General features: G+C 57.5%; 2 protein-coding genes across 10 annotated transcripts, besides 8 other annotated features; both read left to right on the forward strand.

Annotated features, from left to right (window-relative positions):
* Positions 1-604: 604 nt before the first annotated feature.
* On the forward strand, positions 605-6,366 carry CCDC106 (coiled-coil domain containing 106). 6 transcript variants are annotated; one of them, NM_001370467.1, is made up of 6 exons: positions 605-781; positions 2,207-2,282; positions 2,410-2,514; positions 2,613-2,789; positions 4,488-4,700; positions 5,635-6,366. In NM_001370467.1, the coding sequence occupies exons 2-6, from the start codon at positions 2,252-2,254 to the stop codon at positions 5,949-5,951; spliced, it is 843 nt and encodes a 280-aa protein (NP_001357396.1). In that variant the 5' UTR covers positions 605-781; positions 2,207-2,251; the 3' UTR covers positions 5,952-6,366. The 6 variants fall into 6 exon arrangements, with proteins under 6 accessions (NP_001357396.1, NP_037433.2, NP_001357398.1 ...); NM_013301.2 differs by lacking the exon at positions 605-781 and adding an exon at positions 793-1,482; NM_001370469.1 differs by lacking the exon at positions 605-781 and adding an exon at positions 1,224-1,482 and having other exon boundaries at positions 1,963-2,282.
* Positions 1,493-1,612: a silencer, noted in NCBI's record as "silent region_11055". NCBI's record gives its function as "represses an Ori minimal core promoter by ATAC-STARR-seq in GM12878 lymphoblastoid cells {active_cell/tissue: GM12878}" and the evidence as "EXISTENCE:reporter gene assay evidence [ECO:0000049][PMID:35858748]".
* Positions 1,643-1,772: a silencer, noted in NCBI's record as "silent region_11056". NCBI's record gives its function as "represses an Ori minimal core promoter by ATAC-STARR-seq in GM12878 lymphoblastoid cells {active_cell/tissue: GM12878}" and the evidence as "EXISTENCE:reporter gene assay evidence [ECO:0000049][PMID:35858748]".
* Positions 2,833-2,882: an enhancer, noted in NCBI's record as "active region_15105". NCBI's record gives its function as "activates an Ori minimal core promoter by ATAC-STARR-seq in GM12878 lymphoblastoid cells {active_cell/tissue: GM12878}" and the evidence as "EXISTENCE:reporter gene assay evidence [ECO:0000049][PMID:35858748]".
* Positions 7,366-8,035: an enhancer, noted in NCBI's record as "active region_15106". NCBI's record gives its function as "activates an Ori minimal core promoter by ATAC-STARR-seq in GM12878 lymphoblastoid cells {active_cell/tissue: GM12878}" and the evidence as "EXISTENCE:reporter gene assay evidence [ECO:0000049][PMID:35858748]".
* Positions 8,086-8,135: a silencer, noted in NCBI's record as "silent region_11057". NCBI's record gives its function as "represses an Ori minimal core promoter by ATAC-STARR-seq in GM12878 lymphoblastoid cells {active_cell/tissue: GM12878}" and the evidence as "EXISTENCE:reporter gene assay evidence [ECO:0000049][PMID:35858748]".
* Positions 8,226-8,275: a silencer, noted in NCBI's record as "silent region_11058". NCBI's record gives its function as "represses an Ori minimal core promoter by ATAC-STARR-seq in GM12878 lymphoblastoid cells {active_cell/tissue: GM12878}" and the evidence as "EXISTENCE:reporter gene assay evidence [ECO:0000049][PMID:35858748]".
* On the forward strand, positions 8,240-27,921 carry U2AF2 (U2 small nuclear RNA auxiliary factor 2). Of its 4 annotated transcripts, XM_011526410.2 has the most exons (13): positions 8,240-8,358; positions 12,067-12,186; positions 12,415-12,550; positions 13,382-13,426; positions 13,721-13,824; positions 14,243-14,394; positions 15,707-15,823; positions 16,811-16,949; positions 21,712-21,791; positions 21,875-21,997; positions 22,288-22,386; positions 22,649-22,897; positions 27,139-27,921. In XM_011526410.2, the coding sequence occupies exons 5-13, from the start codon at positions 13,803-13,805 to the stop codon at positions 27,271-27,273; spliced, it is 1,116 nt and encodes a 371-aa protein (XP_011524712.1). In that variant the 5' UTR covers positions 8,240-8,358; positions 12,067-12,186; positions 12,415-12,550; positions 13,382-13,426; positions 13,721-13,802; the 3' UTR covers positions 27,274-27,921. The 4 variants fall into 4 exon arrangements, with proteins under 4 accessions (XP_011524712.1, NP_009210.1, NP_001012496.1 ...); NM_007279.3 differs by lacking the exon at positions 12,067-12,186; NM_001012478.2 differs by lacking the exon at positions 12,067-12,186 and having other exon boundaries at positions 22,288-22,374.
* Positions 8,486-8,625: a silencer, noted in NCBI's record as "silent region_11059". NCBI's record gives its function as "represses an Ori minimal core promoter by ATAC-STARR-seq in GM12878 lymphoblastoid cells {active_cell/tissue: GM12878}" and the evidence as "EXISTENCE:reporter gene assay evidence [ECO:0000049][PMID:35858748]".
* Positions 8,986-9,065: an enhancer, noted in NCBI's record as "active region_15107". NCBI's record gives its function as "activates an Ori minimal core promoter by ATAC-STARR-seq in GM12878 lymphoblastoid cells {active_cell/tissue: GM12878}" and the evidence as "EXISTENCE:reporter gene assay evidence [ECO:0000049][PMID:35858748]".

The following is a 27,954-nucleotide window of genomic DNA, read 5'->3' on the forward strand; positions in this document are numbered from 1 at the left end:
ATTTTTTTTTCCATCAACTATTATTATTACTATTTGAGACGGAGTCTCGCTGTGTCGCCCAGGCTGGAGCGTGGTGCGATCTCGGCTCACTGCAACCTCCACCTCCCCGGTTTAAGCGATTCTCCTGCCTCAGCCTCCTGAGTAGCTGGGATTACAGGTGTGCACCACCACGCCCGGCTAAATATTTTTTTAAACTGCTGATTTCATCCTATTCTATTGAATTCTCCACCCATGAACCTGTAGTTTGGAAAAGACCAATCTAGGGCAGATGGCTCCCCCTGGAATTTTTGGACCAGGCTGCAGTTAATCTGTAAAGTGGGGAGGGGAGGATCATGGTCACAGCTTTGCAGGCGGTGCAGACATTTAGATTCTCCCTCCATCGGGTTAAGACCTTGCTCTTATAAGGGCTGGCCACAGTCCAGAGCTTGGATGCTTCTGGTGAACAGGAGAGGCAGGTGGAGCTGAGCCTGAAGCTTAATAAACATCTGCTTATTCATTCATTTTTCTTGCCTATTTTGTGCCAGGCACTGTGCTAGGCCTCATTTGCTCTTCCGACCTGTTTTTTTGGGAGGAAGAACAAATCTTCCGTTCATACTCCCCAGAGTGGGAAAGAGCCTCCCAGAGGCTGCCATCATACCCCACCATCTGACCTCAAATAATACCAGCAGCGCTCCTCTCTTCAGCCCTGACGATGGCCAGGTGCTGGGCTGAGCTTCTGTGTGTCGCATCACTGCATCCTCACAATAAATTTAGAAGGGCTTGTAATTTCCCCATTTTGCAGGTGAGTTAACAGGCTGGGGAGGAGCAGGAACAGTCAGGACTGGAATCTAGCTTTGCTCCAAAGCCAGCTCTTAATTACCAACATGGGGATGGGGGTGGCGTGTTCCTGGCCCTCATTTTCCGGGAGAGGGGTAACTCCCCCGATTTTGGCCCCCACATCCCTGAGAACCTTGGGGTCTGGCTGTAGGAGGTAGGGGAGCTCTGAGGGGTCCGCGCTGGCTAGTTCCTGAGAGAGCGTTAAAAGTAGATTCTCCTTTCGCTCCAACTTTCTCGGTGTCTCAAACACTCTCCTGCCTTCTGGGCCCATTGGGCACACCGCCACCCAATCCGGGGACCCCCGGAGACTCGCCAGCTCTCCAGGATGGGAATTTCGTGATGTTCCCTGCCTGAGCTTCGGGGAGGGCGGGGGAGTGCTGTAAGGGGCTATCGCGCAAGTGCAGACCCTCTGCTTCTGCCGCAAACGGCGGGCCTCACCTGGACCCGGGGACTCTTCAACGAGGGGCGCTAGCCTGGCCCGACTGGGCGAGTCCCCGCGTCCCTGCCCGTTCCGTCGCTCAGTTCCACGACACGCTCCCCTGCCGCCCCGCCTGTTCGCGGGTGGGTGGGCGCTTCCCTCGGCTCCCCGTGACACTTTGCAGACGCTCCCCGGCGCCGGGCATGGGCGCCGCCGCCGTCGGTCCCCGAGCCGGATTCCGCGAGCGGGTGGGTGAGCGCGGGGGGCCTCGGCCCCTCGGACCCCGGGCACCCGCGGGCGGGGGATGGTGGCCGCGTTTGCACCCCCGCCCTAGTGCATGTTCCCGCTGGAATCGTTCCACGACCGCTCCCCCTCCCACCCGCGGGACAAAGGGCGGGGGCGGGGGGGGCGCACCCCCACGCGTGACCTTTCCCCGTACTGCGCACGCGCCCAGCCCCCACCACCGGGGGACGGTCCGCCCGCCCACGCGAGTGCGGGGGAGGGGTGTGGGGGCCCCGAAGGTAGAGGAGGCAGCGCGCACGGGCTGGACCTCCTCCTACCCTGGGAAGTTGGGGCAGTTTCCCCCTGCACCTGCCTCTTCCTTAGGCCTGGCAGTGGCCCGCGATGAGAGAGGGTCCTTCCCCTTCAGGCTAGGTGTCCCTGGTCAGGCGACCCCTTGGGGCACCCAGCAATTTAGGGCTTCAGCTTCCTTTTCCTTCGATACCCAGGAGCCCACGTCCCCAGCTCACTTCTCCCCCAGGACCTAGGCGGCTGGGCCCCCTGCCCCTGACTCCAGGAGCCCAGGAGTTTGAAGCCCAGGCGCGTTTTGCCTCAGTCCTGGGGTCCAGGCTCCCTCCTCCCTCAGACCAGGGGTCCAGGCCAGAAGGTCCCTCCTGTCTCACTTCACCTCCCCCAGGATGGACCCTCCAGTCCATCTGCGTCTCTCCATTTGTGGCTGCCGTTTCTGTCCAGTGCCCCTGAGGCCCTCGGCTGCTGGGGTCCGTAGGAAGCCGCGCCATGAATGACCGGAGCAGTCGGAGGCGGACAAGTGAGGAAGCTGGGTCCCCTTCCCTACCCTGGGTCCCAGTGCGGTCGGCTCCAGGCTGCCGTGGTTGGGGGGTGGCCTGAGAGGCCCGGGGAATTCTCTGGGGTAACCCGGGGCCTCTCCTCTCCAGTGAAGGACGATGAGACCTTCGAGATCTCCATTCCCTTCGATGAGGCACCCCACCTAGACCCACAGATCTTTTACAGTCTGAGCCCCTCTCGGAGAAACTTCGAGGGTGAGCTGAGGGGGTGTGGAGGGACTGGAGTCAGCTGGGAAGCCAAGCCCTGAGTCCCAGGGTGTGACCTGGTCCCCCCACCCTCGCTGTGTCCCTAGAGCCTCCGGAGGCTGCGTCCTCCGCCCTGGCTCTGATGAACAGCGTCAAGACCCAGCTGCACATGGCTCTGGAGAGGAACTCCTGGCTGCAGAAGCGCATCGAGGACCTGGAGGAAGAGAGGGACTTCCTGCGGTGCCAGCTGGACAAATTCATCTCTTCTGCTCGGATGGAGGCAGGTGTGTGTGGGGTGCTCTGATCCACATGCCTCCCTGTCCCGCTACTGGGTACCCGCTCACCCAGACTCAAGGCTCCACTGTTTGGCTGGCTGGGTGGGACCTGCCATGTTGGCCCTATCTGCTAGTCCCCTGCCTGTTTTGGGCCCCCAGGCCCAGCTGCCTCCTCACTTGATTCCAGGGCCTCATCCCCATGAACTGTCTACTGGGGCCCGTCCTCCTGCCTTCTCCGTCAGCTCCCCAAATCCCATCAGCCTCCAGTGCCCTGCCATCTGCTTCCTTGGCCCATGGTGACTTCAGGGACCCTGGCACCTGAGAGCCCCTCTCTTCTGACTCCTAGGGGGACCTTCCTTCATCTCTTTGGCCAAGAGGCCCACCCTAGTTCTTTGGGTTTCCTCAGGGGGCCCCTGCTCCTCCTCCCGTCCCTGTCTTCTCCAAGATCCAAGAGTCCAGCCATCCGGCCTCCTCCTGTCCCCCCCTCCCCTCTGTGACACCAGGGGCCATCTTCCCACCCACCCTGTCCCATCCTTGGTTAATGAGCACTCCTTCCCCATCAAAGACATTAAGTCCCTTCCTTTGTGGGCCTTTTTGGGTGGTGACCCCAGCAGGTGCTGTCCCTCAAACCCTGCCTGATTCCTGGGCAGTCCCCACCCACATACCTTGCTCTGCTATAATTCATGGCCAGAAGCAGCCCAGATAGCTCCCACAGCAGCACCCAGCCCCAGCCAGTTCACAGCTAGCGTCTTCTCTTGACTGGTGGGACCCTGTGCCCTGTTTAATACATTTTGGACCCCAGCCCCATCCTCTTCCCCGGATGGTCAGGCCGTTTGCCCGACAGCCCATGGCCTGGAGAACCCACACTCTACCCCACCTACCCTCATCTCAGCCTTGCTAGCTCCTTGGCTGGGAAGACCCCTCAAAAGCTCCCACATCTCTCTTTGTGAATTCAACCCTTTCCCCAAAAATCCTAGGCAAGGGGGCTATGGTCTTGTGGTGTCTCTGTTACTGGAAGCCCAGCATCTGGGGATCTGGCTTTCCCTCTGCTCGGGAACAAACCACCTCTGGCTGCCCTTGGGCCTGCCACTGTCTCCTCTCACTGATGGTTCCATCCTGGGTGACTGACTCCTTTGCACAGACAGTTTGGCCCTGCGGCTTCGGCACTTTCCCAGTGGGGACCCTGGCACCAGAGCCCTCCCCTAACCCGCCTTCTAGAGGAATCTGTGTCTGGGCCTCCGCCTGCCGGCTCCCTCTGTCTAGATGGAGGTGGGACCCAGCCTGCTGGACCCAGGGCCCCTGATTTCTCTCGGTCTGACCCCCCGACTCCAGCCAAGGCCTTGCCTGCCTCCTGGGTTTCCAGAGGCTACTCTCCAGAGGTCCCGCCCAGTCCCCAGAAATTTCTCCCTCCCCTATGGGAACCGCGCATAGTCACAGGGGTCCTGAGGCCCCTGGTCGGCTGCCTCCGTAAGACCTCTTGCCAACCCAGGCCTCTGAGAAAATGCTCCACCCATTACCACCTCCCACAGACCCCAACTGGCTCTACTCAGCCACCAGCGTCTCTACCGTACTCCTTGTCTCTCTGTCTCTTTAGGGGACCAGCCCAGGTTGGGGGATCCAGTTCGGGGACTGCAGCCTCTCTCAGTCCCGGGACCTGTGATGGGATGTCTGGTCCCTTGGTTCATGTGTGTGTCTCCATCTCCCCAGAGGACCACTGCCGGATGAAGCCTGGGCCCAGGCGGATGGAGGGGGACAGCCGTGGTGGGGCTGGGGGCGAGGCCTCGGACCCTGAGTCAGCAGCCTCCTCCCTCAGCGGAGCGTCCGAAGAAGGCAGCGCCAGTGAGAGGAGGCGGCAGAAGCAGAAGGGAGGTGCTAGTCGGAGGCGCTTTGGGAAGCCCAAGGCCCGGGAGAGGCAGCGAGGTGAGTGGGGTGCATGGGGCGGGCGCTGAGGGGCCCGGGCTGCTGAATTGCTGTGTGTCCTTCCCAGAGGTCCCCCTTTCTCTCCAAGCCCCTCCAGCCTTGCTGGAGAAAGACCCACCGGGTTCTGTCTCTCCCTCCTCCACGTGTGGTCCTGGGTTTACTTTCTTTTTTTTTTTTGGCGGGGGGGACGTCTTGCCCCGTCGCCCAGGCTGGAGTGGTGCAGTGGCGCATTCTCACCTCACTGGAATCTCCGCCTCCCGGGTCCACGCCATTCTCCTGCCTCAGCCTCCCGAGTAGCTGGGACTACAGGCACCCGCCACCACGCCTGGCTAATTTTTTGTATTTTTAGTAGAGGCCAGGGTTTCACCGTGTTTGCCAGGATGGTCTGGATCTCCTGCCCTCGTGATCCACCTGCCTCGGCCTCCCAAAGTGCTGGGATTACAGGCGTGAGCCACCGCGCATGGCCTGTCCTGGGTTTACTTTTAAGTTTTGGTCCACCGTCGAGGGCAGGGCCACCTTGGGCACCTCCTTAACTTTCATCAGTAAGGAGGAGGTGCGCAGTAGGACCTACCTCACGGGGAGGGTGAGACTTGAATAAGTGAATTCACCTGAGGCAGGGAGACGAGGGTGATGGCTCGGGGTGTCGGGGGGTGCTGGGACCGCGTGGGTTGAACCCGGCCTCTTGGCTCATTTTGTCTCCTCACTCTCCTTCCTGGGCCTGCCTCTTCCCATTTCCCACTGGTCCAAGATCTGGCTGCGATTCTTCCCCTCCTCTCTGCCCCTTCCTTGCCTGTTGTTCTCCGTCTCCACCTGCACCGGCCCGTGCCTCTGCTCGCCGAGATCCTTTCTTCCCATGGCCGTTTCCCTTCCCGTGTCCGCCCCCTCAGTCTTGTGCCCTGCCCCTCACTTTCGTGTCCCCGCCTCCACCCCTCAGTGAAGGACGCCGACGGGGTCCTCTGCCGGTACAAGAAGATCCTGGGCACCTTCCAGAAGCTCAAGAGCATGTCGCGGGCCTTCGAGCACCACCGCGTGGACAGGAACACCGTGGCGCTGACCACGCCCATCGCCGAGCTGCTCATTGTGGCCCCCGAGAAGCTGGCCGAGGTGGGCGAGTTCGACCCCTCCAAGGAGCGCCTGCTCGAGTACTCCCGCCGCTGCTTTCTGGCCCTGGACGACGAGACGCTCAAGAAGGTGCAGGCGCTCAAGAAGAGCAAGCTGCTGCTGCCCATCACCTACCGCTTCAAGCGGTGATCGCACCACGCCTCCGCGCCTCCACCCGGGCCTTCCTCCCCCGTGGACCCCGGTGGATGACCTGCCCCTCTCCCCGCCGCGCCCCTGCCCCTCCTCCTCGCTCCCTGGGTTGGGGGCTCCCTTAGCCGGGCCCCCAAGCGCGACGGCCCCGGACCGGCCGCGGCCCCTTCCCGAACGCCGGCACCCCCTTCCGCTTGGGCTGCCCAGCCCTGTCCTCGCCGGGCCCCTTCCTCCTGGAAAACCAGGCAGGCGGGTGCCCCCCCCTCGAGTGGGGGACTGTACAGACCCCGTCTCCGCCCTGGCCCCGCGGAGGAGCTGCCCACCTGATTCCCGGACAGACCTCCCCAACTCCGCGTGAGACAGAGAATTATTCAGATAATTTAAATTAAAAAACGACGTGAAAATTTGGAATAAACTTGGCCTCAGCCTCTTCCTAGGAGGGGGACGTGCCTGGGAGGGGGCGGCCGTCGCCCCGAAGACGGTGACGGGGTTGCGGGGGCTTCCAAGGGGGTGGGTGGTCAGGCGGGAGGACGGGTAGGATACGGTGTAATTAGCCCCCCGGAGGCAGAGATGGAGAGTGAAGCAGCTGCGCCCCAGAAAACTCGGAGGCAGAGCTCGGGAAAAGAAGCGCGGACACAGCCGGGCGCGGTGGCTCACGCCTGTAATCCCAGCACTTTGGGAGGCCGAGGCAGGCGGATCACGAGTTCAGGAGATCGAGACCATCCTGGCTAACACGGTGAAACCCCGTCTCTACTAAAAATACAAAAAATTAGCCAGGTGTGGTGGCGGGCGCCTGTAGTCCCAGCTACTTGGAAGGCTGAGGCAGGAGAATCGCTTGAACCCGGCAGGCGAAGGTTCCAGTGAGCCGAGATCGCGCCACTGCACTCCAGCCTGGGCGACAGAGACTCCGTCTCAAAAAAAAAAAAAAAAAAGTAAAAAGAAGCGTGGACACTACCCGCTGGGCTACCCAGACCGGAGCGCGGCGCGAGAGGCGTGAGTCGATGACCTCTAGCGAGGGAGGCCACCTAGCGGCCAGGCCAAGTCTGGAGGATACTTCCGTTGGGCCGCCAGGGGGCAGTAACGCCAGATCATCTGTCTCCCGGAAGTAATGCCAGATGATCCGTCTGCCGCGCCTGCGCGGCGGGAAGAGCCGGAGCGCGTTGATGTGGTTGCCGAGACAACCAAGAGGGTGGCCGGATTTAACGGCTGGGGATTAAGCACTTTCACCGTTGTAAGGGAAATCTCGCGCACGCGCAATGGGGACTGAAACCTGGTCCCCGCAACCCCCTTCACGGGAGCAGTGGGAGAGCGCGCCACAGAACGACTTTTACGCAGGCGCAGAAGCCTGTTTCCCCTCACCCGCGGCTTCCACCCTGCGCAGGCGCAAAAAGCCGCGCTGGCAACCTCCGCAGCGGTCGCGCGCACCCTTCATCCCTCTTGCTGCTTTTGTCTGGCACAACCTTCTCAGGCCCTCCGCGAGGCCGGCCCTTTTTTTCTTTCACTTTCCCCACCCGGAGAGCCAGGTGCCGAGAACTAGGACCTCGTCCCCTTCTCTATCCCTTCCCCTGATCCATCTCGTCTCTGTTCTCCTTCCCTTTTCCGTTCCCGAAGCCGGAAGGAGCCGAGGTACCCACGGAAAAAGTCGAAGCTGTCCCCGGAGAGTGAGGCCTTCACGAAGCGGTGGCGGAAGGAGCCGAAGTTCTCTGATCGGAGGCGTGAGCAAGTGGCATCTCCGGAAAGAGCCGAAACACGGACTCGAGCTTAATCCCAGGAGGGGCCCGAGGGCGAGATCCGGAAATCTCCGGAAAGAGCCGAAGGCCGGGACGGTTAGGATTGTCGGAAGTGGCCGATTGCTTGGACAGGGCCGGCGGAGAAGATCGGAGCAAGTCCGTGGAAGAAGCCAAAGACTGGGACGGATTGAATTGTTGGAAGAACCCGAACTCGCAGAGGGGACTGGGCGCAGTGGCACACGAGGACACACGGAAACCTCCGAACGTTGAGGAGATAATCTCGGAAAAGTTACGGAAACCTGGGAAGTCGGCGAAACCCTACGTTCGGGTGTTTTCGGAAGCAGCCGAAGCGGCCGCCTGCTTCGCCTTCGTCCAGTATCCGGAGATAGCCGAGGCGCTTCGGAGCCAGGCTCGGGGGGAGGGGCAAGCTCGCGGGCGGGCGGGCGGGTGAGGGGGCGGAGCCCGGGCGGGGCGGGGAGGGCTGCCGGAGGCTTGATTAGGTAGGAGGTGGCGAAGCGCCGGCGGCGGCCGGAAGTAGCCGAAGCCAGCGGCGGAAGTAGCCGAAGCGGCTGGAGCGGGCGGCAAGGCGAGGCGAAAGCTGCACAGGGCCCTACGCGGCCGCCTCAGCATGTCGGACTTCGACGAGTTCGAGCGGCAGCTCAACGAGAATAAACAAGGTGAGGGCACCGGGGTCGCGGGGCGGAGGTGTGGGCGGCTCCTCGCGTCGCTCTTTGCCCCCCCGCCATTTTCTCCCTCGCTTCCCCCCACTTCACGGCCGCGCGGCGCCCCCCAACCCTGGTTCCGTGGCGCGCGCCTCGTTCACGTGACGTCCCCAGCGTTCCGCCGCGCGCTAGGCGAGGGGAAGGGGGCGGCGGGGCGCGGGCCCGTGACGCATGCGCACGGCGGCTGTCCCTGCGCCCCACGTGGTCCTGGCGGAGGTGGCGCGGGGGACGCGGCACGAGCGCGCCAGATGCCTCGACGTGAACTTTTGTTTTTTAAAATCTTTTTGGTTTCTCTGAAAAGGAGATTATGTTAGTCCCCGTAATCTCTTTTCTCCCGCTGCCTTGGCACTTCCGCTTCCGGTCGGGCCCACGGCAGCGTCTCCACGCCCCCTTTGTTTCCAAAATGGCGGTTGTGAGAACTTGGTGGGGGGGCCCCTTTCCTTCCTTCACGTGGATGAGGGCAGAGCCGTTTCGGCGGATGCTTGGAGGCCACGGGCCCCTCGCGTACCCCTTTTCCTTTTTGCTGATTTGCTCTGATCTCTCCCGCCAGGTGGTTTCTGCCCCGTCTGTTGGTAGTGGGGCGCCTCATATTAACGTGTTTGGCACATGTTGCCTAAAAGCATCTGCATTCTTTGAGTGTCCGCACGCACACATCCTGCATATGCGGGGCTTTTGGCGGTCCCGAGAATCGCGATATGGAGTGTTTGAGACAAACCTCAAATCATTTACAATCCCAATCTCAGGGCACCTGATAATACTCAGTCTCAGATCTCAATATAGAGATAAGAAAACAGGTTCTGAGGGAGGAAGAGGGATCTGGCCCACTGCGCTAAACTCTTCACTTACGGGGAAGGTGGGAGGCAGGTTCCCTTCAGGGTATCGAAAATTGTGATGGGTTAGAACAAAAAGCCTGGGGCCCTGATCTTAGGGATTCCAATAATATTAGAAGTGGGAGAGTTGTTAAGACGCTTTAAAAATCCTCCGTGTTTCAGTTTGTGAAGAAATACAGGACCAGGGAAGATTGGAGACTTGTTTCTTTTCAGGCTTCAGCTGCCCATGTTCCTAGCTCGTTCGGAGGACGAAATGAGGGCTGAGGAATTTTCCTTTGAACCCGGGCTAGAGTTGGGTAGGGGCTGTATTAGGAAACAGTGTCCTGGGGAAGCAATAACGTTTACTGAGGGTCTGACTCTGTCTTAGTTGATGGACTGCTCAAGAGCATAGGCTTTGGAGTTGAGCACATCAGGAAGTTTAGATACCTGCTTTGTCGTTTAGTAACTGCTTTTAATACGTTTATATATTTTTTTCCATTTGTAGACTGATTATTATTTTCTTGTTACCGGATTTTGAGAAGATTAAAAAGGATGATAGTAACGATAGATGTAGTTAAACTCTGAGCGCTTACCGTGTGCCAGGCTCTTCGCTAAACTCTTAGCATGTTTTACTAAGTGGATCCTTTTAACAGCCTTGTGAGGCCAAAATGATTTCCACCTCTACTGGGGAGGAAACTGAGGGCTCAGAAAAGTTAAAAACTTTCTCAGGGCTCAGCTAGTCAGAGGCAGAGCTGAGATTAAATGGGGTAACATGTAAAGTGTGTGGCATGTGGCTTTGCGTACACTGGGTGTGCAGTAAGCGATATTTGCAATTGTAAAATTCCATGCTTAGAGAGGAGGGTCTTCCGCTCACAGAGATTGTGTCAGAGTTGGGAAAGGGCAGGAAAAGGTGCTTTCCAAATGTCATTCTGCCACACAACACCTGGATGGAGTAGATACGACCCTCGTTTAAAGAGAAAACCAAGTCTTAAAGGCTAAGTTGCTTTTGCATGGTTTTTGTTGTTCATAAGCAGAAAAGCAGGTACTGATTCTGAGCTCTGGCTGCAAGGCCAAGTTCCACTCTGCTGGACCAAGTGGAGCTGATTGGGCGGTTCTTTGAGGCTCTCAGATGGTGCTTCACCGGTTCTCCCGGGGTTTCCCTTTTGGTGCTGGTAGGGCAGTCCCTGAGACCTGGCACGGCTCCTGGGTTGGCGGAGCTGCTCCCATAAGATGACCACAATACAGTGTTTTGAGCAAACGAAGCTCTCATTGTTTTTACCTGTCCAGCATCAGTGTGTGGGAGAGGGTTCTTGCCATAGGGGAAGCTCTGCCCGCGTGTCACTGCCTGTAGTCTTTGTCTCTGCGGAGGACGGGCCAGCTTCTGTACGTGTCGCCTTCTGCTTCAGTCCTTTCCTCTGCTACCTGTATCTACAGGGAATTTCCTTGTCTATATCCCAGGCACCCAGCGGGCATCATTGCTTTCTCTGCGTGGGTTCCTGTCTGCCTGCTTGCCTGTTTCAGAGCCTTAGCAGCAGAAAGGGCTCTTGGGGCTCACAGCCTGTCCATCTTATAAGCGAGGAGCTGTGCCCAGTGCCGTGCCTGTGTGCCCGCTGCTCTACACTGCTGGCCTGTCCTGCCGATTGTTCCTCCCAATTTCAGTTTTTGATTTTGGGGTTTTTGGCCTTCAAGGGGACAATTATATTGTCATTAATGGTTCTAGCCAGACCTGAGTGTTCTGCCTGATCCACATTCGAGAGTATGGCCTCGTGCTTAACTCACTGATGTCAGAGTGTTTAAATTCTGGTGTCACCATTTCCTAGCTGTTTGACCTTGGTAATTGTGATCTCTCTATACCTTAGTTTCCTTACCCATTATGTCAGCCCCCAGCAGTGTTTTTCCGAAGCAGTAGTGAGGATTAAGAACAAACAAAACAATTTAGTACAGATTCCGGTTGTAGGAAGCATCTCAATATTTGTTGCTGTTTTTTTCCCTGCTGGGTGCATATTTTTCTGAGTGTTGGTGGTTTTGGAATTGTGATGCTTTTCCAGACATTCACATTGCATCGCAAAAACGTGAGACAAAACACTGTGGGTGAGGCTGAAGTTTAACATCCTCCCTCAGTGCCCTTTCCTCCTCTTGTCCCCAGGGATGATCACTCCAGGAGATGCGTGTTAACATATATAAGCACCTTAACGTGTGCATCTGTTTTGTGTGTGTGCTTCATGGCTAGCTGAGAAATCTGGGTGTCTTTGAATTAAGGAAATGGTGTGGCGGTGCTCATGAACCCCCCCGCCCCCCCATGCTCATGGTTTATCCTCCATCTTGAAGGGCCGGTCTCTCTTCAGGGGTTGAAGGGTCTGGTGAGAGCAGAGGTTTCTGTGGTTTTGCCAGTGAGGCTCCGTTCCTAGTGGCTACCTCAGGCAAATAGAGGGTTGAGGGAGCCTGCTGGAGGCTGGCAGAGATACCCGCCCCTACTCACGCCTTTACAGTCTCTTCAGTACTTGGCTTTGAAGGGAGTGAGGCTGAGAGATTCAAGTGGTTTGGGATTCAAGTCTGGATGGGGCAAGCTCCTCCCCTGACCTGCTGAAGGAGAGGAGGGCCTCTTTCCCCTTCAGTCTGCAGATTCTCCGAGGCCCTTCTCTTCCCCTGGGAAGGGTGCTTGCTTCTGCATTATTCACCGGCTTGGGAAGGGATGGGTTGAGTTTCCCTGCTTCCTGGGGATATCAGATCCTGCCTGGCACCTGACCCCTAGTCCTGATGGTGGGGCTGTGGGTGCCAGCTAGTTGCAGAGGTCTTTCCTGAGGGGTCGCTGGGTCCCTTCAGGAAAACATCATTGGGTCTCTTGATTCCCCAGCCTCTAGCCCTGCCCCTCTCAGGGACGACCCTGGGGTCAGGCCCCTCAGCCCTCGAGGGGGACCAGGAGCCAGCCTCCTCTGTCTTCTCTGGCTCCCCAGCTCCTCCTGAGCATCCTCAGGTATCTTACACCCCGGGGGCATTTCCAGGCCCCGTCCCCCTGGTCCCCTCATGGTCCCTGGACTCGCTTGTGGACCCAGGAGGCCTGTTAATTCCCTTCCTCCATTGAATCCCTTCCCTTTGGGGGTGGCCTCCCTGGGGCTTGGGACATAGCCACCAGCGCGCAGGGTGGGCTGGGCCCGCATCCTTACTCCGCTTATCCCGTGCCCCTCCTCTCACCCTTGCCCAGAGCGGGACAAGGAGAACCGGCATCGGAAGCGCAGCCACAGCCGCTCTCGGAGCCGGGACCGCAAACGCCGGAGCCGGAGCCGCGACCGGCGCAACCGGGACCAGCGGAGCGCCTCCCGGGACAGGCGACGACGCAGGTACTAGGGCTCAGGGATCCCCTGGGCCAGCCTGGGAGTCGGGGGGTCGGTGTTGGCCGGCCTGTGGGTGGCCTGTGTGTGTCTGTGTCTGGGTCCGGGCCCTGTGTGGCTCGTTCGTTCTTTGTGTGGATCTGGGGGAGGGATCTACTGCTTGGTCTGTCTTGGATTCCGATTTTTTCCCCCGTTTCTGGGGTTTCTTTCATTTTCTGTCTTGGTGGTTGCTGGTGGGTTGCTGGGGGCAATAGGCTCTTTATCTGGAGCCTGGGAATTGATTCTGTGTTTTCCTTCACAAGGGGTTGTTCTCTGTCTCTGACTCTGAGGGCCTGTTCCTTCTTTTCGACTCTCTGTGGCTCTCTGTGGGACTCTCTTCGAGGGGGTTGGTCTCTGCCTCCAGTTTCTTTCTTCCCTGCCTCCCAGGAGAAGGGAGCTCTTGGGACCGAGGCAGTATCCACAGCCTGGGCTGACTTTTTGGCCCAGGGGTGTCGGTTTCCACCGCCTCTTCCCTTCTAGGCTCCCCTTTCTGTTCTCTGCCTCCTTAGGTGAGGAAGGGCAGGATAGGCGGAAGTCCTCCTGCCTCCTCCCGGCTCAGTTTCTCCAGCTAGAGACTGGTCCTTCCTGGCCCCTGGCCCCTTTCTCCTTTCCTCACTTCCTCTTTCCTGGGGGTGGGAGTGTTTGGGGGGAAATGGCAGGGCCGAGGGTGGCCTGCTTGCTGCTTGTTGACCTCGGCCCTGCTCCCACCCTGGGGCTCAGTGCCCTTGGGGGGGTGTGGCATGTGGGGAAGACGAGGGTCCCCAGTCACCCCTCCCCATACCTTTCCCTCCCACCCCCCAGCAAACCTTTGACCAGAGGCGCTAAAGAGGAGCACGGTGGACTGATGTGAGCTTCTCTTCCTGCCCCTTCCTCCCTGATGTCCACTCCCTTCACCTTCCTCACGCCCGTGCACCCTGTCCCGCCCATTTCCAGCCCTGGCCCAAGCACTGGGAAGAGTCCACTTACCTTGAAACCAGCACCCCTTTCCCAGGCCCTGCCCCAGACCCTCTCCTTCCCTGGAGAGAGTGGAGCTTACATGGTTGCGGGGAGGGTGAAAGGGTGCCTGGGAGGGGGCTCGCAGGCCCACTGTTGGTCAGACTGAGGTTGCCCTGCCCCGCTCTCCCCTCCCACCTCCCCCAGTCGTTCCCCCCGCCACGAGAAGAAGAAGAAGGTCCGTAAATACTGGGACGTGCCACCCCCAGGCTTTGAGCACATCACCCCAATGCAGTACAAGGCCATGCAAGGTAGGCCCCTGGCCAGGCTGCTCCCAGAGCGGGAGGGTACAGGGGTTGGGATTCTCCGTCAGTCATTCCCCTGCGTGTGTGCTTGGAGGGGGTCAAAGACACAGGTAGAGGGTTGCACACCCCTGGGGGTTCTGGTCTCTGCGCTTTTGAAGCCTCCCTAGAGGAGGAAATGACCAGAGACACCCGTGGTTGACAGGGGAATGAGGCCTCCATCTGGACGCCATTAGGAAGTGAGGCTTCTGAGGAGCAGCAGTTACTGGGTGGGGGCCCCGAGGGTGGAAAGAGGGTTCTGGAAGGTGCTAAGACCGAGAGCCTGTAGGAGCTTTCTGCTGAGGAGGGGAACTCCCAGTGTGTGGTGAGGGGTGGTCACTGAGCATTCCCCTGATGGGGTTTTATCCGGCTTTTATTCCCTTTGAAGCTGCGGGTCAGATTCCAGCCACTGCTCTTCTCCCCACCATGACCCCTGACGGTCTGGCTGTGACCCCAACGCCGGTGCCCGTGGTCGGGAGCCAGATGACCAGACAAGCCCGGCGCCTCTACGTGGGCAACATCCCCTTTGGCATCACTGAGGTACTGCCCTCCCCTGCCCCCTACCCTCTCCCTTGTCCCTCTACCCCGTTCCTCCCCTTCCCTCCATTCCCTTTCCCCAACCTGCACGGGTCAGACTCTGCTCCTGCAAGACCCCCCGGCCCCCTCCCAGACGGACCGATGGAGTTGAGCCAGCCAGGGGCCGGGCTGGGGGTGGCCCTCCCTCCCTCCTCTTCCCCTCTCCCGTCTCCCCTCCCCCCAACCTCCTCCAGCAACCCAGGGATCAAGCACACACATAATGTACCCACGTGTTGTACCTACGTGTCGGAGAGAGACAGAGAGGGAGACTTGGACACACACACACACACACACACACACACACACACACACACACAGACGCACGCTGCCCCTCAGTTTTTTTCTGACACGCCTCTCGTTCTCTGCCGCCTGTCCCCTATCCTCTCCCCCACGTCCCTCCCATGGTCGCTGTTCTTTTATTTTTGATCGCCCCTGACCTCCCCCTTCCCCACCACTCCTTTTCCCTCTCCCCTCTCCCCAACCCCTTCCTGTGGCACCCCCTGAGAATCCCGAGATCAAAGAGTTGTTTCCATTTCTCTTTAAAGTGAAATATTGTGGGGCTGAGATCCCTCGTAGCAACAAAAAGTTTGCTACCATCGTCGAAGGCAAGTAAGGTCCATTCTGACTTTCTCAACCTGCACTTTGCTACATTTGATAAACCAGCCCCCGGACTCCAGGGCCAGATTCCTCCACATCACTCTTTTCTCCTCCCCTCCCGTCCCTGCCCCTCCTCCCTACACTCCTCCTCTCCTGCCCCTGCACTCTTGACTTCCTCCTCCTCGCTCGTCTCTGTCCTGCTCTCCCTTTCTGTCCTTTGCTCGTCTCTGCCCCTGCCTGCCACTTCCTTTCTACTTTCCTGCCACTTTTCTGTCTGTCTCCACTGGGTGGCCCTTCCTGTGTGCTCTGTCTCTTCATCTCTTGTGTTTCGTGTTTTTCTTCATTTTGTGTTGTCATCATGCCCTCTGCCTTTTCTTGAACAATCTTCTCCTTTCCCCTGATTTTTTGGGGCCCCTGTGGCTGTCCCCCAACGCCTGTCCATCGCCTGCCCTTGGCCGTCTCTTGCTACTGCTTCCTCCCCATTTTCTCTCTTGCTTCTGTTCTTACTATTGACTTCTACACCCCCACCCATATTCCACTGTTCCTTCCCCCCCTCCTCCCTCCCCTCATCCCTCTCCCCTTACCCCCAAACCCCTCTGTGTCTCCCTCTCTCACCCTTCCCCTCCTCTCTCCACCTCCCTTCCCCCGCCCCCCCCCTTGTCTCCTATTCCCTCTGCAGGAGGCCATGATGGATTTCTTCAACGCCCAGATGCGCCTGGGGGGGCTGACCCAGGCCCCTGGCAACCCAGTGTTGGCTGTGCAGATTAACCAGGACAAGAATTTTGCCTTTTTGGAGGTGAGCTGGGGGAGTGAGTGAGGTCCAGGAAACGTGTGTGATGTGAGGGCCCAGCCCTTAGGCTGATGTTGTGTGGAGCTGCCTTGTGCTGTTTCCACCAGGCCCTCTGCAGCCTCTTCTCCACCCGGTCGCTGAAGTGAGCCCTGTTATAGCATTACAGATCTGATCCTACTTTCTGCCTTCCATTTGCTTTCTGTGTGACCTGAGAGGCCTGTTTGGCCTCTGTAGACCTCTTTGGCCTTTTCCAGACCATTCCGGCCCAGTCCTCTCTGCACTCTGGCCACACTGACCTTCCCAGAACCTACCATGCTCCTGCCTGCTTGGCTAGAGTTCTTTACACCAGCTAACTGATGTTCCTAACTAGTCTTCTGTTACCCCAGCTAACTGATGTTCCTAACTAGTCTTCTGTGTCTGTGTTTCTCAACTGTCGGGAAAAGGCCTTGGTTTTTGATTTTCGACTCTTGGTGGACTGATAACTCTCATGAAGTATTGTGAAGGTGTGGGCAGTGTTAGCTTACTGCAGAGATTTCTGAGCACTCCCTCTCACTGTCTGAGCACTCCCTCTCACTCTGTCCCTCTCACTCTGTCTTTGCCTCACTGCAGTCCACTTGCAGTTGCATTGCTCCGGAGATGGGCTGAAATGTCCCCCTCACCAGAAAGACTCCAGTACTGTCATCTCCCCGTTCAACTAACCTTTCCCGTAACATCCCTTTTCAGCACTTTGTCCCTCTTCCGTGTCATCACAGCCTGCAATTGTGTGTTTGCCTCTGTGTTTGTGTTGGGTGCCTGGTGTTTTTAATGGTCGAGTGTGAGCTCCTGGCAGCAGGGACATGCGTGTCTGTTGTACTCCCAGTGCCCAGCCTGGGGCCTGGCATGTTGTATTTGTTCACATGAGTGAAAGGAAAGAGGAAATCCCAATCCTGGAACACTAGGGGCTGTACTAGTCCCTGACCCCCATCCCTCACCACTCCTTTCTCTTTCATTCAGTTCCGCTCAGTGGACGAGACTACCCAGGCTATGGCCTTTGATGGCATCATCTTCCAGGGCCAGTCACTAAAGATCCGCAGGCCTCACGACTACCAGCCGCTTCCTGGCATGTCAGAGAACCCCTCCGTCTATGTGCCTGGTGAGTGGGGGATCCATTAAGGGCCCCTTTCTCCCCCAGTCCTGTTCCCATGGCCTGTCCATCCCTTCAGCCCAGCTGGAGTGGCTTAGGAAGTTGTGTAAGTACTGTGGAAGATAGGTGCCTTTTCCCTGCTTCCCCTAAGTCTCTGTGAGTGGGGTGCTCTCCTGCTGGTAGAGAAGGTGCCTAGGGCCGGGAGAATGAGCTGTCACCTGCTGAGGACACACAGCTTGTACGTGGCAGAGCCAGGATCAGACCAAAGGTGCTGGGGAAGCGAGGGGCTTGTGGCCTGGACCTCGTGCCTGCGTTGCGGCTGTGGGACCTTGGAGGGCTCAGTCTGTGCCCGTCGGGGCTGCTGTGTGTCGACGGTTGGCAGCAAAGCTGCTGCTGTGGGGTCTGGCACCTGGGTATTCACTTGTTTTTGTCTCCTAGTGTTTGCCTTGAATCTTGTGTTCTGGGCCATTCCCCATAGCTGTGTTGAACATCATCTGTAATTGGTAGGTAACATAGCAGACCAGGGGTTGGCGACCATGTCACTGTGTGTGAAAGCAGCCGGACGGTGTCTGCGTGCGTGGGCCTGGCTGTGTGCCGGCACACCTCGACACGCGTGGCTGCTGAGGTTGGGCTTTCCTGTGCTTCTCACAGGCCACAGAATGGTCTCCCTTTAGAAAGCTTGCAGGATGTGCAAAACCAGGTGATGGGCCCTGTCAGCCCACAGGCTATAGTTGGCTGACCCTTGTAGCTGATGAATGGGATTTGAGGGAGGGCTTGTCTGATGCCCTGTCAGGGTGCGGCTGTGTCTCAGGCCTGGGACATGGAGGAGGTGGGGTTCTGCTGGCGGGTACTCACTGTTCGAGGAGCCCTTTAGGAACTGAGTCAGCTCTTCAGGGCAGGCGATGTGGAGCCCCAGACGGAGGCACATCTGTGTCAGGCAGGACTTGGGCTAGGTCCCTCACTGGCCTCCAGTGCTTTTCTTTTTGTTGTTGTTGTTGTTTTGAGACAGTCTCGCTCTGTCACCCAGGCTGGAATGCAGTGGCACGATCTCGGCTTACTGCATCCTCCGCCTCTAGGGTTCAAGCAATTCTCCTGCTTCAGCCTCCCGAGCAGCTGGGATTACAGGCACCTGCCACCATGTCTGGCTAATTTTTGTATTTTTAGTAGAGGGTGGGTTTCACCATGTTGGTCAGGTTGGTCTCCGACGCCTGACCTCAAGTGATCCGCTCACCTCAGTCTCCCAGAGTGTTGGGATTACAGGCATGAGCCACTGCGCTCAGCCCAGTGCTTTTCCATCATGGGTTTTGGTAAATTCAGCTAACCTTTTGGAGCCTGTAATATATGTTGACATGCTCCCAATCGACATGGACTTTTTACGTATGGGTGCGTTTCCCCGATCAAGCTGCAGAATGTCTTCCCCACGTCTCTTCCTGGTGAATCCACTGCGTTTTCATTCATTTTAAGTCCCATGAGTGGCCCGCCACTTGCTGGTGCTTAGTGTGTGTCAGGCGCTGTCCTAAGTGCCCTCCATGCACGGCAGTTCTACGACACAGGGATTGGCGCTGTCCTAAGTGCCCTCCATGGACGGCAGTTCTACGACACAGGGATTGGCGCTGTCCTAAGTGCCCTCCATGCACGGCAGTTCTACGACACAGGGATTGGCGCTGTCCTAAGTGCCCTCCATGGACGGCAGTTCTACGACACAGGGATTGGCGCTGTCCTAAGTGCCCTCCATGGACGGCAGTTCTACGACACAGGGATTGGCGCTGTCCTAAGTGCCCTCCATGGACGGCAGTTCTACGACACAGGGATTGGCGCTGTCCTAAGTGCCCTCCATGCACGGCAGTTCTACGACACAGGGATTGGCAGGTTACAACTGAGAGTCCAACGCTGGCCCACTGCCTGTTTTTTGTTTTTTTGTTGTGTTTTTTGAGACGGAGTCTTGCTGTGTTGCCCAGGCTGGAGTGCAGTGGTGTGATCTCGGCTCACTGCAACCTCCGCCTCCCAGGTTCAAGCGATTCTCCTGCCTCAGCCTCCCGAGTAGCTGGGATTACAGGCATGTGCCACCACACCTGCTAATTTTTTGTGTTTTTAGTAGAGATGGGGTTTCACCATGTTGGCCAGGCTGGTCTCAAACTCCTGACTTTGTGACCTGCCTTGGCCTCCCAAAGTGTTGGGATTATAGGCGTGAGCCACTGCTCCCGGCCACTGCCTGTTTTTGTAAGTAAAGATGGATGGCGGTGCAGCTGGCCTCACTGTGCAGCGCCTCCTTCCTGGGTAGGGACGTGTGGTGGGCCTTGGGGAATAGGAACCGTGGGTTATGGATCTAAGGTTGCTTCTCTTACCAGGCTGAGGAGCTTGACTCTTCTGAAGGTGATGGGGTGCTCTGGCAGGGGCTGAGCTGAGGGCAACCCAGTGATAGTGGCTGCCGAGCTCCTCTCAGGCGCCCCCTGCACCAAGATGGCCTGGTCACCATGGGAGGGGACATTGCTCCATCTTACAGATGAGGAAAGAGCTTCGGGACAATGGGGATCCCTGCTGGGTCTTCCCCACACAGCCTCTGCTCCAGGTGTGATGCTTTGTAGATGCAGCCGCTGCAGAGGTATGGGGCCCTGTTTCCCCGCCCAACTCTTGGAACATCCCTGCCAAGCAGGGCTTGTCCTCAGTGATGAGTGGAGGAACTCAAGACTCCGAGAAGATTCCTTTGAAGTTGTTGTCATGTAACAGCGGCTGACCCCACTGACAGTGCTCACAGTGTGTGTCTGGGCTGGGTGGGTCCTGTTGTGGGCATTGAGTCTGGCAGATGCCCGGGCCATGGGGACTGCCGTGCCTGTTCTCACGTCCTCGATTGAATCAGCACTTGGCCTGAGCTGTTCTCACACACGTGGCTCACACGATGGGCACCAGGGTTCTTCCCATTCTACAGATGAAGACACTGAGGCCCTTGGAGGCTCATATGGTACAAACAAGACTTGAACCCAAGGAGCCATGAACCCAGGGAGCCCAACTCTTGTATCCTTGGCTCTGTGTTGCTCAAGTGAGACGGGCAGAGCCAGGGCTCGCGGCTGAGCTTCCAGTGTGACCCATTCTTCCTTGGACCCAGGCAGAGCCTGCAGCCTGCCATGCTGCCTGTGGGGAGTCACAGCTGAGTGTGGGCTCTGGAGGCTGCCTTTTTCCTGCCTGTGTGTCTTTGCTCTGTGCCTCAGTTTTTGCCTTCTGTGCTGTATGTATAGCATTGCAGTAGGAGGTTGAAAGTCTTACAGGATGCCTGGCCCATGGGGTGAGTGCCCGGTGTGTGTTCCTGCTCCCGGGCTGCTGCTACTTGTCCCTGTAGCATAGGAGCTGGGTCTCCTGGGGTCTGTGTGGCCCCAGTCTGGTGGTTGGAGCTGGCTGGGTTGGTGCTTCCAGTTCTGTGGGGGCAGCGTCATCATGGGCTGGAAGGGCTTGAGTGAGTAGGTGGGAGAGGGTGTGTGGGGGCATCTCCCCTCCTTCCATGGGCACAGCGGCTCATGCTTCTGAGGCTCTTTCCCATTTCCTGTCTTACCTATTCCTTCCCAGCATCAGGATGGAGGTGGGATGGGGCCACTCACACTTGGTGTGGAGGCTGCAGAGGAAGGGGAGGCCATATGGCCTAGGTTTTGAACTTGGGAGTCAGGCTGGTTGGTTACCGGGGCCTGGCATAGCTGATATCTGACAGGACGGCGTCAAGTTACATTGGCAGAGCCTGTGGGGTCTCAGGTTGAATCATCCCACCAGCAGGCACTTGTCTGTGAGTCCAGAGTTCAGTGGATAGGGCAGGATCGAGGGCCAGTAAATTCAGCTGATAAGCCCCCACTCTGGTATGTCAGCCCTCGAAGACACTGGATCCTGCATCCCACAGTCAGCCCACAGTTCCCAGTGAGATCAGAGCAGCTAATGCTGCGGATGCTGTTCTGAGACTTCCCGGGCAGCCGCGGCTGCTCATCGTGTCGTGCCACCCCTGTGAGGGCAGTTGCACCCCTGCAGTGGCACCTGCAGTTCTGACAGGGCGTGAAGGGAAGGGACTGAGCTTTTTTTTTTTTTTCCTTTGAGATGGAGTCTCACTCTGTTGCTCAGGCTGGAGTGCAGTGGAGTGATCTCGGCTCACTGCAACCTCCGCCTCCTGGGTTCACGCCATTCTTCTGCCTCAGCCTCCTGAGTAGCTGGGACTACAGGTGCACGCTACCACAGCCCGCTAATTTTTGTGTTTTTAGAGAGACGGGGTTTCACCATGTTGGACAGGATGGTCTTATCTCTTGACCTTGTGATCTGCCCGCCTTGGCCTCCCAAAGTGCTGAGATTACAGGCGTGAGCCCCCGCGCCCGGCCGGGACTGAGCTTTAATGGGAGCCTTGCCTGGGTGGCTGTCAGAGAAGGGGTGGGGTGTGTTGTGACTCACCAGTAGGTCCCGAGCCCAGGTGACCTGCCAGCATTCCACAGCAGCAGGTAGCAGATGTGGGTGTGAACTTTGTGCCTTTGGAGCGTTCTGGAGGATGTTCTAGTTTGAGGTTCCCCTGAGGCTGGGCAGATTTGGGAGACATGGTGCGTTCTCCCCGAGGAGCCTCTGTGTGCCACTGCCCAGGACCCTCACTGGTCAGATAAGGCTGGGGTGGGGTGGGCACGTGGCGACCCCTCCCTCGTCAGATCAGGCAGGAAGTGTTCTCTTTGGCAATTGAGGAGCTCGCCGTAGACTGTCCAGGTTTTGGGAGATAACCTGGTACTGGAATTGAAGTCCTCCTCTTCTCTACCCATAGGGGTTGTGTCCACTGTGGTCCCCGACTCTGCCCACAAGCTGTTCATCGGGGGCTTACCCAACTACCTGAACGATGACCAGGTAACTTCCCTGCCTCCCTCCAGACCCGTCCCCCCACCCCGCCCCACCTCATCCCAGCCCTGATGGACTCTCGGCTACTGCAGGTCAAAGAGCTGCTGACATCCTTTGGGCCCCTCAAGGCCTTCAACCTGGTCAAGGACAGTGCCACGGGGCTCTCCAAGGGCTACGCCTTCTGTGAGTACGTGGACATCAACGTCACGGATCAGGTGAGTCCCCGGTCGCTGGCCGCTGCCGCGTCTGTCCTTCCCTGCCCTGCGCTGTTGCCAAGCCATGGTCTCCCCTCCTCAGGGGACGGGGCGGGAGGCGGCCAACCTGAGGCAGTGCCCTGTGTGTGGGCTCGTCCCTGTCCCATGGCGTTGGCTTTTTCCAGGCTCTTAATCCCCTTTGCCTTCCCCTCTTCCCCCACCAATGCCCCGGCTTGGGGGTAGGTGTCGGGCTCCTGGTCCCTGACCCCACCTCTCCCCGCACCCCCCGACCCCTCATCCTCCAAACACAGGCCATTGCGGGGCTGAACGGCATGCAGCTGGGGGATAAGAAGCTGCTGGTCCAGAGGGCGAGTGTGGGAGCCAAGAATGCCACGCTGGTGAGCCCCCCGGCACGTCATCTTCCATTGGCTTGAGGGACCCTGGGGGTGGGAGGGGCTGGCTAGTAGGGGACAAGTGTTCCTGATCTTTCTCCCAGCTTTCATGGGAAGGCATTTGGGGGGCATTCAGTGCAGTGTTGGGGAGTCGGGCTTTAGGTGTTGGAAGTGGAGAGATGGCCTTTCCCCTGGGGGGGCATGTGAGGGGCCTAGGCTTGAGCAGAGGGAGACTGGGTCTGGGCCCCCTGTGACGCCGCTGCCTCCCCTGGCCCCACAGAGCACCATCAATCAGACGCCTGTGACCCTGCAAGTGCCGGGCTTGATGAGCTCCCAGGTGCAGATGGGCGGCCACCCGACTGAGGTCCTGTGCCTCATGAACATGGTGCTGCCTGAGGAGCTGCTGGACGACGAGGAGTATGAGGAGATCGTGGAGGACGTGCGGGACGAGTGCAGCAAGTACGGGCTTGTCAAGTCCATCGAGATCCCCCGGCCTGTGGACGGCGTCGAGGTGCCCGGCTGCGGAAAGGTCAGGAGGCCTCGGGCTCAGTGCTCTCTCACCCTCTGCCCCTCCTCTTCTCCGCGCCCTCTTTCTTCCTCTCTTGCTCCCTCACCCTCTCCCCCTCCTCTTCTCCGCGCGCTCTTTCTTCCTCTCTCTCTCCTCTCGCAGCGCGTGCGTATAGGTGTATGCCATCACTGAGTGCCGCCCTCAGGCCGGGCCATGGGAGATGTTGGTGACCCTGAGGGGTTTGTGGCCCTGTGGGGGCCCAAGACCTGCAGGCGAGACAGTAGTTGGGGAATGTAGCTCTGTATCGCTGTAGAACTTGGCCCTGCTCCCCCTTATATGGCCTGGCTTGTGCAAATGGTTTTGCCTGGTCTGTGGAGTGGGGAAGAGTGCCGGGAACAGTCCCGAGACACCTGCTGGTGTCTCCTGTGTGCCAGGCACCCTGCCGAAGCTGTGTCTGTGCTCACCCTGAGCCCTCCCCGTAGCCCCTGAGCCCCATCGTGGAAGGAGACAGGCACAGCGGGGGTGGCTCACACTGGCAGGTTTCAGGTTCTCGGAGTCTGATTTCAGACTCTGCTAAGTCCTGTCACCTCCAGCGCCGTGACAGGTGTAATCACCTCACCTCTCTGCCTCATGAGATGGTGGTGGTGAGGGCGTGTGACCTGCTCTTTGATCCCCTTGCTGGGTGTATGTATGGAATTCCCATCGTACCAGGCTCTGATCTAGACGCTGAGGGTTCAGTTGTGAATAGAGGTCCCTGCTGTCCGTGCACCCTGCTGTCCCGTGCACCCTGCTGTCCCGTGCACCCTGCTGTCCGTGCACCCTGCTGTCCGTGCACCCTGCTGTCCCGTGCACCCTGCTGTCCCTGCACCCTGCTGTCCGTGCAGCTGTTAGAGGACCTGCATGCCGTATTGAGTCGGGGCAGGGGCCGCATTCCTGGGTGTACTGTTCGTTCAGGGTGGTCAAGGTCAAGAGGTGGCAGTGAGCAGGTGAGTGAGCGAGGTGGTGGGGCCAGGGCTGAGTGGCAGGCCTTGGAGGGCTGCCTGGGTCTTGGAACGACCGCTTATTTTGAGCCAGATGGGAGGGAAGCAATACTGAGAGGCCTCCAGGGTGGTCACGCCTGGCAGATGGAAATGACCCCACATAGTGAGGTTGGGGGTGGGTGCGGAGGCACAGCAGGTACTTCCCCTGGCCCTGGCTTCCCTGCTGAGCCCTGCAGGGCAGGATGTGGATCAGCAGGAGGGCAGAGAGGGTGCTGTGGACAGGAGGGCTTGCCGGGAGCTGGCAGGGTTGGTCTTGCCAAAGCGATGCCACAGCCAGGTTTGTCAGGACCAAGGCTGGCTCTGCAGGGCCAGATCGGGCGTGGGGGCCTTCTTATGTCATGGAAGCAGCTCGGCTTTCCCCTGGAGTTGGTGGCCTTTTGAAGGAGAAAACAGGACTGTGGTGGTGGCATTTTTGAGGTGATTGTGGCTGCAGTTGGGAAAATGAATGAGGTCTCCCGCAATAATCTGGTGAAAGATGGTGATCTGATTTAAAGTAGTAGCAGGGGATGGAGAGAAGTTGATGGATTTGAGGGAGACTTGTGCCTGGGAAGTGTCCAGACTTTGGTGATGGGTGTGGGTTTGTGGGGAGGGGAGGAGAAGGCCTATGAGCTGCTTAGTGGCAGCTCTGATGGTGGGGATGGCAGGTGAGATGCAGGGGTGATGAGCACCTTGTCGGGGGTGAGCGGGGGGTGGGGGGCAGCTAGCTGGCTTTGCGGTTTCTGAGACACCCAGTAGAGATGTCAAGGAAAAATTAGCTGGACAGGTCTGTGTTCCCAGCATGAGGGCTGATGGACACTCAGGTGTCTGTCGAGGCCCTGCTTGGGATGTCGGAGTGGTTTGCCCAGGGAGAGCAGGGTTGGGGAGGGCGGCTGGAGAGGTGGAAGGAGCATCTTAGAAAAGGGGCATGGGGAAGGCCAACGGCATCTCCTCTCACTGCAGCTCCTGCCCACTGCCCTCCAGAGTCCCCTTCCCTTGAGCTGGTATGTCAGGGCTGCTCAGGGCTGCCCTCTGGTGCTGGGATGGAGCTTGGCTCAAGCAGGGGCTGAGGAAACATTTGTGGGAAGAAGGAATGGAGAGACCCTGGCCTTTGGGATCAGCTGACCTGTTTTGCATATTAAATTTATTGCATCGGCGGCCCGGCGAGGTGGCTCACGCCTGTAATCCCAGCACTTTGGGAGGCCGAGACGGGCGGATCATGAGGTCAGGAGTTGGAGACCAGCCTGGCCAATGTGGTGAAACCCCATCTCTACTAAAAAATACAAAAATTAGCCAGGCATGGTGGCGGTGCGTGCCTGTAATCCCAGCTACTCAGGAGTCTGAGGCAGGAGAATTACTTGAACCCGGGAGGCGGAGGTTGCAGTGAGCCAAGATTACGCCACTGCACTCCAGCCTGGGTGACAGAGCAAGACATGGTCTCAGAAAAAAAAAAAAAAAATTACTGCATTGTATTGTTTTATTCTTAAATTTTTTGTTACATGTCTTTTCAAATATACTTAAAAGTAGGGACTATGATAGTGATACGTTTTTATCATAGTATATGTGCTAATATTTTGGTGTTCCTTCATCTGGCTTCAAGTTACCAATATTTTGTCATTCTTAATTTTCATATTCAGCTTATTTCTCCCCCCTCCTTTTTCTTTGCTGGATTATTTTAAGGCTTATCAGGTTTATTTCACCTGAGATCCTTAAGTATATTTCTATTATTTCTCAATTAACATTTTGGGTCAGATAACTTCTCTGTGGGGGCCTTTGCTGTGCGTTGTAGGATATTGAGATGTATCCCCAGCCTCCACCCACCGGATGCAAGAGCACTACTCCCTGCTGAGACACCCAAAAGCATCTCCAAAGATTGCTCAGTGTTCCCTGGGGACACCCCCCCTCCTCCAGTTGACAACCACTGCTCTAACCAGATAACCTTAAAAAATTGTTTTGTTTTTTTAACAAAACCACAATAGCATGATTAGATTAGCGAAATTCCTTAGTGCCTATTCCATGTTCAAATTTTTCTATCTCAAGAATTTTTTTTTTTTTTTTTGAGACAGAGTCTCGCTGTTGCCCAGGCTGGAGTGCAGTGTGCCCGCCACCACACCTGGTTAATTTTTTTTGTATTTTTAATAGAGACAGGGTTTCACCGTGTTAGCCAGGATGGTCTCGATCTCCTGACTTTGTGAGCCGCCCGTCTTGGCCTCCCAAAGTACTGGGATTACAGGCGTGAGCCACCGCGCCCGGCCAATAATTTTTTTTTTTTTGAGACGGAGCCTCACTCTGTCACCCAGGCTGGAGTGCAGTGGCGCAATCTCGGCTCACTGCATCCTTCACCTCCCGAGTTAAAGAAGAGTAGCTGGGACAGGCACCCGCCATCATGTCTGGCTAATTTTTGTATTTTTGGTAGAGATGGGGTTTCGCTATGTTGGCCATGCTGGTCTTGAACTCCTGACCTCAGGTGATCCATCTGCCTCAGCCTCCCAAAGTACTGGGATTACAGGCGTGAGCCACTGTGCCCAGCCGAGGATATTTTTTATAGTTTGTTTCAGTAAGGATCCATATCAGGTCCCTGCCTTGAATTTGGTTACAAAGTTTGTGTAATTTATCCTTTGTACCTCACTCCCTCTTTTTTTTTTTTGCAAGCTCTTTTATTTGTAGAAGAAATAAGTTCATCTGCTATATAGAATTTTCAGTGTTCGTGTAGGCTCATTGTATCCTTCCCTCCCTCCATTTTCCTGTAAATTGGTTTAAGCAAGGTTAGAAGCTCGAATAGATCAAGGTTCAAGTTTTTAAATTTTATTCAACCTGGGTTTGAATCCTAATTTCTGAGCTTCCCTTAGTTCACTTATTGTTGGGAGAACATGGCTGTTGGGGTGGTTCTGGGAGCGCCCACCATGGTGGCTCGTGTGGAGTAGACACTCAGCACGAGGGACCCCTCCCCCGCGGTGAGCTCGTCTAGGCCTCCCGCCTGCGCTCTATGGCTCTGCTGAGTTTCTGGCATGTCTCTATTCTTTCTCCCTCTCCATGCCTATGGTGTGTTTATGCTCTTGTTTTTTGATCCTGGAGAATATTTGGGTGAACTCCACCAAACCTGCTTACTAAGGGTCCCTTTCTGACACCTGTGGCGAAGCCCCCTCCTCCCTGTCCCTTCCTGCCTTCAGTGCTGGGGTTGGGTGGACGCTGACTGGCTGTTGGGCGTGAGCCTTGTTCACAAACCTGCCTCTCCTTTCCCCACAGATCTTTGTGGAGTTCACCTCTGTGTTTGACTGCCAGAAAGCCATGCAGGGCCTGACGGGCCGCAAGTTCGCCAACAGAGTGGTTGTCACAAAATACTGTGACCCCGACTCTTATCACCGCCGGGACTTCTGGTAGAGGCGGCTGGGGGAGGGTGGGGGCAGGGCTGGCTGGGGGCTTCTCCCCACTCCCGCCCCCCCCTTATCCCCCTCTGAAGACGATGGGCAGAGGAGTGACAGCCGCAGACACACGACAGCCGGCAGCAACTGGAATGGCAGCAATTAAGGGTGGGGGGCGGGGGTTGGGGGGTTGGGGGGTTAGGGCAGGGAGGGGACTGGGGAAGTGCGCACACAGCCCACACAGACAACACGCACCCACACAGACACAGAGGGAAGGGGTTGGGATGGGGACAGGGTGCACAGCAGGGCGGGGTAGGACCCCAGCCCCTCCCAAAACAGCCTCTCCTTCTCCCATAGACCCCTTTCTTCTCCCCTTCCCCACGGTAGGAACATAGCGTGTTTATATTTTATGGCCAAACTATTTTGAATTTTGTTGTCCGGCCCTCAGTGCCCTGCCCTCTCCCTTACCAGGACCACAGCTCTGTTCCTTCGGCCTCTGGTCCTCTCTGGTCCCCTCCTGGGTTTCTTACGTAGTTGATTTTTCCTCTTTAGTCTCCCCCGACCTGCGCCCAGCCCCGTGGCCCCTGCCCCTCTCCTACTCTCTGTGGCAGTTTCATATTTGCTAAGACGAATTTGCTCATTAAACATTTTGTTGTATTTTACTTTATGGAGCGGCTGTGTGTCCAGTATGTCCGACCCT

This window comes from Homo sapiens, chromosome 19 (assembly GCF_000001405.40).
Source record: "Homo sapiens chromosome 19, GRCh38.p14 Primary Assembly".
NCBI lineage: Eukaryota > Metazoa > Chordata > Mammalia > Primates > Hominidae > Homo > Homo sapiens.

Coding starts and splice junctions, on each gene's coding strand:
- CCDC106 (NM_001370467.1), top strand. CDS start 2,252: ATGAATGACCGGAGCAGTCGGAGGCGGACAA. Junction 2,790..4,487: donor TTCTGCTCGGATGGAGGCAG/GTGTGTGTGGGG, acceptor CCATCTCCCCAG/AGGACCACTGCCGGATGAAG. Junction 4,701..5,634: donor GGCCCGGGAGAGGCAGCGAG/GTGAGTGGGGTG, acceptor TCCACCCCTCAG/TGAAGGACGCCGACGGGGTC.
- U2AF2 (NM_007279.3), top strand. CDS start 8,310: ATGTCGGACTTCGACGAGTTCGAGCGGCAGCTCAACGAGAATAAACAA. Junction 14,395..15,706: donor TCCCCTTTGGCATCACTGAG/GTACTGCCCTCC, acceptor TTCCCTCTGCAG/GAGGCCATGATGGATTTCTT. Junction 22,387..22,648: donor CCACGCTGGTGAGCCCCCCG/GCACGTCATCTT, acceptor CTGGCCCCACAG/AGCACCATCAATCAGACGCC.